This window comes from Homo sapiens, chromosome 11, assembly GCF_000001405.40.
Source record: "Homo sapiens chromosome 11, GRCh38.p14 Primary Assembly".
Taxonomy (NCBI): domain Eukaryota; kingdom Metazoa; phylum Chordata; class Mammalia; order Primates; family Hominidae; genus Homo; species Homo sapiens.
Genome location: NC_000011.10, coordinates 118,810,217 through 118,823,180, shown reverse-complemented (window position 1 = coordinate 118,823,180; position 12,964 = coordinate 118,810,217). Strand labels below are relative to the sequence as shown.

Below are 12,964 nucleotides of genomic sequence, written 5' to 3'. Positions count from 1 at the left end.
AACGGTACCTGGTTCTTAAAATTTGCATTTCTTTTGTTATTAGTGAAGTTGAACATTTTCCCACGTGTCTTTTAGCCCAATATATTTCCTCTTTTGTGAACTGTTCAACTTCATTTATCTTTCAGCTGGGTCCTTGATCAATTTTGACTACTTTCCTTGGACCCTACCTTTCCTATCACTTCCCAACTCTTAACACATGGGAGTAATTCACTCAGAACATAAAGAAAGGAGCTTTCTAAATAATGAGAATATTTAAAAATATATAGACATCTGAAAAGGGACTTTTCTTCAGAAAGTGTAGAGATGAACAAATGGGGTCAGAGGAAATCTACCACCTCTGACAGGAATATTAGCCCTCTCTGACCTGCTCCAGCAGCCAGAAAAGTTGACAAATGTAGCCCTTCCTGGGCAAAGCACTTGAGAATTTCTGTATTTAAAAATCTCCAATTCTGGCTGGGCACGGTGGCTCACACCTGTAATCCCAGCACTTTGGGAGGCCAAGACAGGAAGATTACTTGTGTCCAGGAATTCAAGACCAGTCTGGACAACATGGCAAAGCCCTGTCTCTACAAAATATAAAAATATTAGCCGAGCATACTGGTGCATACCTGTGGTCCCAGCTACTCAGGAGGCTGAGGTAGGAGGATCGCTTGAGCCCAGGAGGTTGATGCTACAGTGAGCTGTGACTGTGCCACAGCACTCAGTCTGGGCAGCAGTGAGACCTTGTCACACACACACACACACACACACACACACACACACACACACAAACACAAAAAAACCCCTCTGAGTTCAAGTTCCCCATGTCTTACATATAATCTTGAATATCAGCTCCTCAGGATGATGATAAAGATCTAAGCGGTCTTGTATTTGGAAAAGACAAGAGAAGGAGGGGCCACTGTAAACGGGGAATGAGAAGCCATTATCTATTTATGTCCAAGGCTAAATTGATTGACTGATTTTTCATGTCATGAGTTTATTCACAAACATATCTAGTATGCTACATGAGTTCAAGAGTTTGATCCATTTTTCAAAGGGATTGCATCTCTTGAAACACTCTTCATGTCTGTTCAATGGATAAACTAAAACATTCTTATTTCTTAAGCAGTTGGTGTTTTACTTTAAAGAAGGGTGCCGCAGATCCCGATCCCAGTACAAAGTCATCATAATTAGTAACTGCCACGTGTTTTTCATTGAAAATGGCAAATTCTTCCCTGGGCCCTCCGCATAGTGGCTCCTGCAGACCACAGATGTTGTCAACCATCTAATGCTCCGTCCCCACATGGAGCTCTTGGAAGCTCCACCAAAGTTGCAGAGACCCAAGCCAGAAGCAATGGCGGCACCAAACCCACTTGTTCATACCAAGTCCTCCTTTGCTCAGGACCTTGTTCCCCTGTGTCTGAAAGAGTAAATGTAAACGGTATTAACACAGGTATGGGGTAGATATGAACAAGGACTAGCCAACTTTCAGGAGTTTGAACTTCTACACAGACAATTGTAAAGATCTATGTAGGACTCCTCAGTTATTTTGTAGGAAGAAATTGATAATTCCTTGATAATTGATAATGCCTTTTTTTTTTTTTGAGATGGAGTCCCACTCTGTTGCCCAGGCTGGAGGGCAGTGGCACGATCTCGGCTCCCTGCAACCTCTGCCTCCTGGGTTCAAGCAATTCTCCTGCCTCAGCCTCCCGAGTAGCTGGGAATACAGGTGCGTGCCACCACACCCGGCTAATTTTTTGTATTTTTAGTAGAGACGGAGTTTCACCACGTTGGCCAGGCTGGTCTTGAACTCCTGACCTTGGATGATTCACCTGCCTCAGCCTCCTAAAGGGCTGGGGTTACAGGCATGAGCCACTGCGCCTGGCCAATATCCTCTATCTTTAATAAGCATGTCCAAGCAAGAATGGGATGGCTAACTAATCTGAATTCCAGCCAGTCCATGGAAGGTGATGTAAGGTGAAAAAATATGATTTCACAGGGCCAGGCATCATCACATCACCGAGCTACTTGTGAATTAGATAAGCCTATTCGCATGAGGGGACTCTGAGCATGAGTGGGAATCCCACAAAAGTCAAGCTACAAGGTTGAAGGTAGAGGGGGAATACCAAACCGGAACCTGACATTTCATACTGCTTCCCTGACAGGTCCTTTCAAAGAAACAAGAACTGAAATGCAGGCTTAACTGGCATGCAAAACAGGCAGCTATTTCAGTCTGAATCATGAGCAGGGGCCACAGTGGGCTATCTGAAACTGAGGGGCAAAGGAAATCTGCACACCAAGGCCTGAGCTGCTTATGACAAATAATTGAAACTGTCCAGGCAACTGGTCCATTCCAAGCATTAGCTGTGCTGGGAGCTGAGCCATGAAGCAGAATTTTAGATTTTCTTTCTTGCTAGAGCCGTGCAACAATGATCCTTCCCCTCCACCCCTCCCCTCTTCCCCAATATTCCTGCATTCCCCTTGCCTGTCACAGGACTGCGGGGCAGTGGCCTCTTAGCATGGCTTTCCTTTGACTGCGGTGTTGCCACGTCACCTGGTGCTCGGCCCCTCCCCCGCCCTGGCACAGGGTCATAACAGCCTGCAGTGTTGCCAAGGAGCTGGCACCGTCCAGACCCAGTGCACAGGGATGGGCCTGAGATGGCCGGCCACGTCATCTGTCACCCAGGGTGTTTATGCACCCTGCAGTCCAGCAATGCCAGGATCTGCCAAGAATCTTCAGGTTTATTATGCTTTCTTTGGCCTTCAAGAACTGGATGGCTGGCCAGGCGCGGTGGCTCATGCCTGTAATCGCAGCACTTTGGGAGGCCGAGATGGGTGGATCACAAGTTCAGGAGTTTGAGACCAGCCTGGCCAATATAGTGAAACCCTGTCTCTACTAAAAAAACCACAAAAATTAGCCGGGTGTGGTAGTGGGCGCCTGTAGTCCCAGCTACTCAGGAGACTGAGGCAGGAGAATCGCTTGAACCCAGGAGGCGGAGGTTGCAGTGAGCTGAGATCGCGCCATTCTACTCCAGCCTGGGCAACAGAGTGAGACTCCATCTCAAAATAAAATAAAATAAATAAATAAAATAAAAAGCCTGGATGGCTATCATTAAAACAAGTCACAGAAAGCTCTGATGGAAATAATTTTCAGACTTCCCTCTTGAAATATACCTTTTCTGCCTTTTTCCTGCCAATTCATTTTCCTCTCTCCCTCATCTCCCCTTCTGAAAAGGCTTCCTTCACCCTAAGACCTACTCACGCAGGCTCCTAGTCCTCTGTTCCGTACATCAGAAAGGAAGTTTTCTTTCAAGGCCCAGCCGCCTCCTAATCAGGGAAGCTGAAGGAGTGCTTAGAGAAGGTAAATACATTGTGATATTATCTTAAGTTATATAAATGTCTTCGGTACCTAGTCGGCACCAAATGTATTTAGCTTAATTGAAATCAGATGCAAAAATACATGTCCTTGAGAGCCAAAGAAAATTTAATTTTTAAATTATTTATGCACACATAATTCTTAAAATCTCAGGCTCTAGACAGACCTAAGTTTAAATTGAGGCTTTAACAATTACTGGTTGTGACCTTTAACAACTCACCTCATTTCTCTGAACTGCCTCATTTATAAAATGAAGATTATAATAACAAGCCCCTTAGGGCTTTGAGAGGATTAAATGTGATACTCTATGTAAATGAGCCATTTATTCACACTTGTAAACAGTTAAGCCACATGCATCATTCTGAGTGTGTGTACATATTCTTTCATAAATTATCTCTTTTTTTTTTTTTTTTTTGAGACAGGGTCTCGCTCTGTCGCCCAGGCTAATCACAGCTTACTGTAGCCTTGACTTCTCAGGCTCAAGAAATCATCCCGCTTCAGCCTCATGAATAGCTGGGAAGTGCAGGTGCATGACACCATGCATGGCTAAATTTTTTATTTTTAATGGAAATGAGGTCTCACCATGTTGCCCAGGCTGGTCTCAAACTCCTGGCCTCAAGTGATCCTCCCAACTCGGCCTCCCAAAGTGCTGGGATTACAGGCTTGAGCCACCGTGCTTGGCCTATGTCTACTGTTTGACCAGGATCTCTATAAGGGCAGTGCCAGGCTGACTGTCTGAGGGAGTGGGGTTGTCCAGCCTATTGATCCTCCATGTATAATCCCAAGAGAGCTCCAATATAGTCTCATGGTATTTGGGGTAGACTCAGGAGAAAGGCCTGGATCATTGAATTTGAGACACAGCATAATGAACCAACTATGCTACATCAGGTCATGATAGATAGTTGCTAAGTTTTAGGAAACTGATTCATTTATTTATTCATTCATTTATCCAAACATTTATTGAGCATCTGTTATGTCTGAGGCTATAATGTTGAAGAATGTACAAGGTCCCTTTCCTCTTAAGCTTACAGTTTAATTGTTTAACCTAAATAAATAATGAGGCAATTTAATTCATATTTGTTGGAAAACAATTCAGTTCAACTATGTAAAGGAACACTGTGTTTTATTAAAACAGAATTAGAACCCCCAAAGCTTAGCTCTTGAAAGAGAATATCTTACAGGAAGAACTGGCTGGCCAAACAGTCCTGAATCTGTCCCAGTTTCCTCCTCCCTCAGGTTTCCTGTGTCTTTGCTGTTCTTTTTCCATCCCTTTGGTCTAAGCATAGATTTTTAAACTTTTGTTTGTAGATGAAATGAGTTGGAGTCCTCAACAAAATATTTTGCTAAATATAAGGGAAAACAAAAGAACATTTTTGAAAGCAGTATGAAACAATGGTATGACTTTAGAAAATTGTTTGGCCGTATTAAAACTGACCATAATCATATACTATTTATATTTGTAAGTCAAATATTAATATTAATATTATTTTTATTATAATATATTTTAATATATTATAATGTATTTTAATATATTTTTATTAAAATATATAACATTTGTAAGTCAAAAAGAGACAATCATATTTTTTGTTTGTTTGTTTTTTGAGAGAGAGTCTAGCTCTGTCACCTGGGCTGGAGTGCAGTGGCACTATCTCGGCTCACCGCAACCTCCACCTCCCGGGTTCAAGTCATCCACCTGCCTCAGCCTCCTGAGTAGCTGGGATTACAAGCATGCACCATCATGCCCGGCTAATTTTTGTATTTTTAGTGGAGACGGGGTTTCACCATGTTGGCCAGGCTGGTCTCGAACGCCTGGCCTCAAGTGATCCACCCACCTCGGCCTCCCAGAATGCTGGGATTACAGGCGTGAGCCACCGCGCCCGGCCATTGGAGACAATCTCTATCTCCACATGCAATAGAATGGATAAACTAGGTTATTTCACTCAATGGAACAGCACAACAAGAATGAACAAACTACAACTACATGCGACAAATGTGTGAATCTTACCAACATAATGTTGAGCAAAAGAAGTCAGAAAGGAAAATATACCGTATAATTTTATCTAAAGTTCTAAAATAGTTAAAACTAATCTATGGTGTTTGAAGTCAAGATGGTTTTTTGTTTGTTTGTTTGTTTGTTTGTTTGTTTGTTTTGAGAGAGTTTCACTCTGTCACCCAGGCTGGAGTGCAATGGTGTGATCTTGGCTCGTGGCAACCTCTGCCTCCTGGGTTCAAGCGATTGTCCTGCCTCAGCCTCCTGAGTAGCTGGGACTACCAGCGCGTGCCACCAGGCTCAGCTAATTTTTTTGTGTTTTTAGTAGAGACGGGGTTTCACTGTGTTAGCAGGATGGTCTTGATCTCCTAACCTCGTGATCCGCCCGCCTCCGCCTCCCAAAATGCTGGGATTACAGCCATGAGCCACCACGCCCGGCCCAAGATGGTTTTATCTATCTCCCAACTGAGGGATTTTTCAGTCTCCAGAAGATTGGTAGAATTATGGTGAGTATTTATATCCAGTGAATAAGCATATCTTTTGGGTAAGATCCCAGCTCCTATATTTAAAGTGTCTGTGTTCTCAATATAAATCAAATAATAAAATAATACTTCAACAAAACAATAATTATTGCATTAATACAGTAAATTCTCCCCCTTTACAATAGAAGCTCCATGGGAGCTGGGATTTTGTCTTAATCACTGCTTTATTTTATTTTTATTTTACTCATGGGTGCCATAGGACACCTAGAACACACAGCACCTAGAACAGTCCTTGGCACATAATAGGCACTGAATAAAAATTTCTTGGATGAGATAACTATATTCAAACAGAACAGCATAGCACAGAGGATAACAGTATGTGTTCTGGAACCAGATTGCTTTGGTTCAAATCCCAACTCTGCCACTTTCTAGCTATGAGACACTGGACATGTTATGTAATCTATCCATGCCTCAGTTTCCTCATCTGTAAAACAGAGAGACTACTAGTATATTCCTCTTAGGGTTGCTGTGAGGTTTAAGGAACACTTGTAAAGATAACGTATGGAATTATTTGATGACTACCATGACAAAAGAGGGCTTGCCCTACCTCTTAGAAACATAGGAAATTTGGTGTCTTCTGACCATCTGTGTGACATACAATAGAATAAATCATTTTAAAAGCTAATACACATTAAATAAATGAAATGAAGAAAACTTTAAAATTATTAAAATTGAAGAGTCCAGCAAGATTTTCTGTAAGTGAAGACAAGCTTATTCTAAAATTTATACAGAAAGTCGAAGGAGCTAGAATAGCTAAAACAATTTGGAAACAGAAGAATAATCTGGAAGCAATCATTCTGTCTGATGTTAAGATTTACTGTATTGCTACAGACTCACTGTAAAGATATAGTAATTTAAACAGTATGGAGTAGTGACAGATACACAGGTCAATGGAACAAGCCAGAAATTGATTTTTGACAAAGGAGCAAAAGCAATTCAATGGAGGAAGAATAGTCTTTTCAATGAATAGCCCTGTAGAAATTGGACATCCATAGGCAAAAGAAAAAAAAAAAGAACCTTGACCTAAATGTCACTTTTTTTTTTTTTTGAGACAGAGTTTTGCTTTTGTTGCCCAGGCTGGAGTACAGTGGTGAAATCTTGGCTCACTGCAACCTCCACCTCTTGGGTTCCAGTGATTCTCCTGCTTTAGCCTCCTGAGTAGCTGGGATTACAGGTGCACACCACCATGCCCGGCTAATTTTTTGTATTTTTAGAGGAGATGGGGTTTCACCATGTTGACCAGGCTGGTTTTGAACTTAGCTTAAGCGATCCATCCACCCACCTCAGACTCCCAAAGTGCTGGGATTACAGGCGTGAGCCACTGCACCCGGCCTAAACTTCACATCTTACACAAAAATTAATTCAAAATGGATTGTGAATTTATATACAGCATGTGAAAAAAGTTAATCACTGTATGATTCCATTTCTGTGACATTCTTTTTTAAAAATTTTAATTTGATTTAACTTAATTTGGCCAGGCACGGTGGCTCACGCCTATAATCCCAGCACTTTGGGAGTCTGAGGTGGGTGGATCGCTTAAGCTAAGTTCGAGACCAGCCTGGTCAACATGGTGAAACCCAGAGTATACAAAAAGTACAAAAATTAGCTGGGCAGGATAGCATGCACCTGTATTCCCAGCTACTCGGGAGGCTGGGGCGGATCACTTGATCCCAGGAAGTTGAGGCTGCAGTGAGGCAAGATGGCACCACTGCACTCCAGCCTGGGCAACAGAGTGAGACCGTCTCAACAAAAATAATTATTTTTATTCATTTATTTATTTTTGGAGACAGAGTCTCGCTTTGTCACCCAGGCTAGAGTGCAGTGGCACTATCTCGACTCACTGTAGCCTCTGCTTCCCGGGTTCAAGCGATTCTCATGCCTCAGCCTCCTGAGTAGCTGGGATTACAAGGGCATGCCACCACGTCCTGCTAATTTTTCGTATTTTTAGTAGAGACGAGGTTTTGCCATGTTGACCAGGCTGGTCTTGAACTCCTGAGCTCAGGCAATTTGCCTGCCTTGGCCTCCCAAAGTGCTAGGATTACAGGCGTGAGCCACCTTGCCCAGCCCTGATTTTTTTTAACTTAATTTTATTTTTTGTAGGGATGGGGTCTCCTTATGTTGCTCAGGCTGGCCTTGATAAACATTATTCTCTTTTAAGTTATTATCATTATTATTATAACAGGAGAACCATTCAGCCACACACTGCCTGACATAGAGTAGGCAATCCATACATATTTGCTGAATGAATAAATTATAGGTACAGGGAAAAGATGGAAGAGTGATAGATTTTCTTTTTTTTTCTTTTTCTTTTTGTCTTTTTCTGAGACAGGGTCTCATTCTGTCACCCAAGCTGGAGTTCAGTGGCATGATCTTAGTTCATTGCAGTCTCCACCTTGCTGGCTCAAGTGATCCTCCCATCTTAGCCTCTTGAGTATCTGGGATCACAGGTGCACACCAACATGCCTGGCTAATTTTTGTATTTTTTGTAGAGGTGGGGTTTTCCCATGTTGTCCAGGCTGGTATCAAACTCCTGGGCTCAAGCAATTTTCCCGCCTGGGCCTCCCAAAGTGCTGGGATTACAGGTGTGAGCCACCCTGCCAGGTTGAACTTATGTTCTAATGAGGGAAACAGACTTAAGGCCTTATGGCTTTGAGCTGAGGTTTTGAGGATAAGCAGATGAAGAAGGATGAAGAATATACTGGGAAATGAGAATATAAAGATTAATTGAGGCTGGCCATGGTGGCTCACGCCTATAATCCCAGCACTTTGGGAGGCCAAGGCAGGAGGATTGCTTGAGCCCAGGAGTTCAAGACCAGCCTGGGCAACACAGTGAGACTCTGTCTCAAAAAATACAAAAATTAGCCAGGCATGGTGGTGTGCACCTGTGGTCCCAGCTACCCAGGAGGCTGAGTGGGGAGGATCACCTGAGCCTGCGGAGGTCAAGGTTGCAATGAACCGAGATGGTGCCACAGCACTCCAGGTTGGGCGACAGAGCAAGATCCTGTCTCAGAAGAAAACAAAAGAATCAGGTTACTGTACAGCCCAAATATGAAGAAAATGGATTCAGGCAAGTAATCAAAGCCTAGGAAGTTAATAAATGAACTATGAATTAATTATTCTCTCCTTTGCCTTCTCCTTCTCTCTTCTCTTTTCTTCTCCCTACGATATAGTCATAACTTGGGGAAGGATATGATCGCACACGGCATAAAGTGTGGTGACATTGCTAATGGGATGAGAAGCAGATCAGCTGGGGAGGAGATTGGACTTTCTGAGGAAAAGCTCCTGAAATGTCCTGAAGTAACAGGTGGATCTAATGTCAGAGCTGTTTGTAAAATGGAAAAAGGGTGAGATGTGTCATCTTCTGGGATAAGTGCTATCAGCATGATAATCCACATGTTATGCACCTGCTTGTGTTTTTGCTGCTGGGAGCACTTTCCACCAACACACAACTTACTAATGAGGAAATTGCTAAAGAGAACCCAAGAGATTAAACACAGATCTGCAAAGAGGGATGTGTTTACATCCTACATGTGAGTAGAGTGAGTATATTTTTAGGGTAGCAAGTTCTGGCCAAGCAAGCTTAACATGTAAACATGAGAATTGCCCTACTTTAAGGGACCCACCCAATTCGATATTCTGTTTTGGAGTGTGGAACTGAAAACATAATTAGTATATAGAACTTAATGTATAAATGGCCAATTTAGTTTTCACTGTTTGCTGTCCTGTAATAAACCTACATCATCTTCTGAATGAGATTGACTCTCCACTAGGACAGGGTCCCTATTAAATCACCAGCTACCTGGCAACTTTGGAAAAAGTCATTCTGGATAGACAAGTTAAACACACAGACAAGGATGACTTCTCCAGACATGAATTTTAAAATGTATATTACACTTTTCCGCCTCACACCTGTAATCCCAGCACTTTGGGAGGCTGAGGTTGGAGGATCACTTGAACTCAGGAGCTTGAAACCAGTCTGGGCAACATAGCAAGACTCAGTCTCCACAAAAAAATTAAAAACTAGCTGGATGTTGCGGCACATACCTGTAGTCAGAGCTACCCGGGACGCTGAGGTGGGAGGATTGCTTGAGCCCAGGTAGGTTGAGGCTGCAATGAGCCGTGACTGCACCATTGCACTTCAGCCTGCGTGACACAGTGCGACCCTGTCTCAAAACAAACAAACAAACAAAAACAACCAAAAAAACCCAAAACCAAAACAAAAAACCCCCAAACCTTTTCTAAATAGATCATGGTGATAACAATGTTATATAATAAAGTTTGTAGAACCATTTTTTTCTACAGCAAATGTCCCAGAATGCTGCACTTCTATGTGGAATTTGTATAGTTTTTCCTGTCAGTCTCCCTGTTATCCACTTCTACTTCTCTTTGCTGTAAGGGTAGAGCTTACTTAATACAGACTCTCTTTCCTTCTAATATACGGTCTAATCTGCTATGGACAGGTGATAATTGTTACATTTGCACACTTTACCAATTACAAAGTGCTCATCAGACCTTTGCAGGTGATATCATTGTCTTTGGATCATAGCCCTGGGGCTGGGGACTTGACCTTGCCTGGCCAATCAGAATATTCCATCTCCCTTACCAATGATTGGTTGTGGGATGGACACATGACCCAAGCTGGGCCTGTTAGAATCTGCCCTGGGAGTTTCATGAGCGTCATCAGGAAAGTGTTATCGTGACGTTATCATGATGCTTTTGTTTTTCTTTCTGTATTTTTTGAGACAGGCTCGTGCTCTATTGACCAGGCTAGAGTCCTCCAGTGGCATGATCACAGCTCAATGCTAGCCTCTAACCTCCTGGGCTCAAGGGATCCTCCCACGTCAGCCTCCCTAGTAGCTGGGACTACAGGCACAGGCCACCTTACCTGGCTAATTTTTAAAATTTTTTGTAGTTTTGGTAGAGATGGGGGTCTCACCATGTTGCACAGGCTGGTCTGGAACTCCTGAGCTCAAGCAATCCTCCTGCCTCAGCCTCCCAAAGTGTTGGGATTATAGGTGCGAGCCACCATACCTGGCCCTGTTGTTATCTTATGCATAAACTAGCAGGTAAACCTGAGCTTCCAGAGTCCCTCTTGCTGCCACACAAAGAGCCTAAATACAGGAAAACAGCCGAAAGAGAGACAAACTTGACAACAGCATTTGAAAACCTGAATCTTGGACTTTTCAGTTTGCACAAACTCCTTCACCTACCCCACCACACATATCAACATTTTGTATATATATATATATATATATATATATTTTAAATATATATATTTTTTGAGACACAGTCTCACTCTGTCACCCAGGCTGAAGTGCGGTGGCGCTATCTTGGCTCACTGTAACCTCCACTCCCAGGTTCAAGCCATTCTCATGCCTCAGCCTCCCGAGAAGCTGGGATCACAGGTGTGTGCCACCATGCCTGTCTAATCTTTGTATTTTTAGTAGAGACGGGGTTCCACCATTGTATTATTCCGTTCTCACATTGCTGTGAAGAAATACCCTTTATAAAGGAAAGAGGTTTAATTGACTCACAGTTCCACATTGCTTGGGAGGCCTCAGGAAACTTACAATCATGGCAGGCAAAGGAGGAGCAGGCACCTCCTTCACAGGGCGGCAGGATGGAGTGAGTGCAAGCAGGGGAAATGTCAGATGCTTATAAAACCATCAGATCTCATGAGACTCACTATCATGAGAATAGCATGGGGAAACTGCCCCGTGATCTAATTACCTCCAACTGGTCCTGCCTTTGACACGTGGGGATTATAGGGATTACAATTCAAGAAGAGATTCTGGGTGGGGACACAGCCAAACCGTATCAGCCATGTTGACCAGGCTGGTCTCGAACTCCTGGCGCCAAGTGATCCACCCACCTTGGCCGCTCAAAGTGCTGGGATTATAGGCGTGAGCCATCATGCCAAGCCAATATTTTTATTTTGCTTAAACTAGTTTGCATTCGGTTTCTGTCATTTGCTACTACTCCTGGTGCAGAGCTGTCTTCTGACCTCTCCTCATCACCTTCTAGAGATCCCCTTTACCTTTTTCTCCCATTGTATCGCCTCATCCCATATTTTCCTCCTTCTTGGCTTATGTCCTTATTTTGGTGACACATATCCCCCAGTAGCTTCCTGAATAAAATATAGATGAGAAATAAATTTTTGGAGACCTTGCATGCTTGAAAATATGTGTGTTTGCTTTCATACTTCATACAAAAGTTTGGCTCTATTTAGGATTCTAGGTTGTACAGAATTTTCCTTCTGAATCTTCAAGGCACTCCTTCATTGCCTTCCGGTGTCAGTGTGGCTGTTAATAGGTCTAAAGTCATTTTGATTCCTAAGCTCTTCTATGTGGCCTGTTTTTGTTTAGTTTAGGTTTTCCCTTTCTGAGACCTCTTCTCTTTGTCTTTGATTTTCTGATATTTCTTGATGATGTGCCTTGCTGTGGGTCTGTTTTCATTGACTGTGCTGGCACTAGATGGGACGTTTCAATCTAGCGATTCGTATCCTTCAATATGGGGATTAGTCTTTATTACTTGCTTGATGATTTCTTCCCTTCTGATTTCTATGTTGTTTTTCTTTTGAACACCCATTAGTTAGATGCTGGATCTCCTGGCCTAATCTAATTGCCTTGGAGCTTGTATTTTGTGTTTTCCTCCTCCATTTTCTTTTTGTTTGTTTGTTTTTGAGACAGGGTCTCAGCTCTGTTGCCCAGGCTAGAGTGCAGTGGTACAATCATAGCTCACTGCAGCCTTGACTCAAGGGCTCAAGCGATCCCTCCCACCTCAGCTCCCCTAAACCCCTAGTACCTGGGACTATAGGTGACTGCCACCGCACCCAGCTAATTTTTAAATTTTTTGTAGAGACATGGACTCACTGTGTTGCCAAGGCTGGTCTTGAACTCCTGGGCTCAAGTGATCCTCCTGCCTTGGCCTCCCAAAGTGCCAGAATTACAGGTATGAGTTACCGCACCCGGCCATCCTCCTCTGTTTTCTATGTTTGTCTTTTATCTCTAAGATTTCTTCAATTTTACTTTGTACATTTTCTGTTGAACACTTAAACAAATTTTCTATCATATTTTT

At 42.9% G+C, this 12,964-nt stretch overlaps 1 pseudogene, besides 1 other annotated feature; it reads right to left on the bottom strand.

Moving 5' to 3' along the window:
- COX7CP3 (COX7C pseudogene 3) lies at positions 1,097-1,286 on the bottom strand (annotated as a pseudogene).
- Positions 2,041-2,120: an enhancer, noted in NCBI's record as "active region_5601". NCBI's record gives its function as "activates an Ori minimal core promoter by ATAC-STARR-seq in GM12878 lymphoblastoid cells {active_cell/tissue: GM12878}" and the evidence as "EXISTENCE:reporter gene assay evidence [ECO:0000049][PMID:35858748]".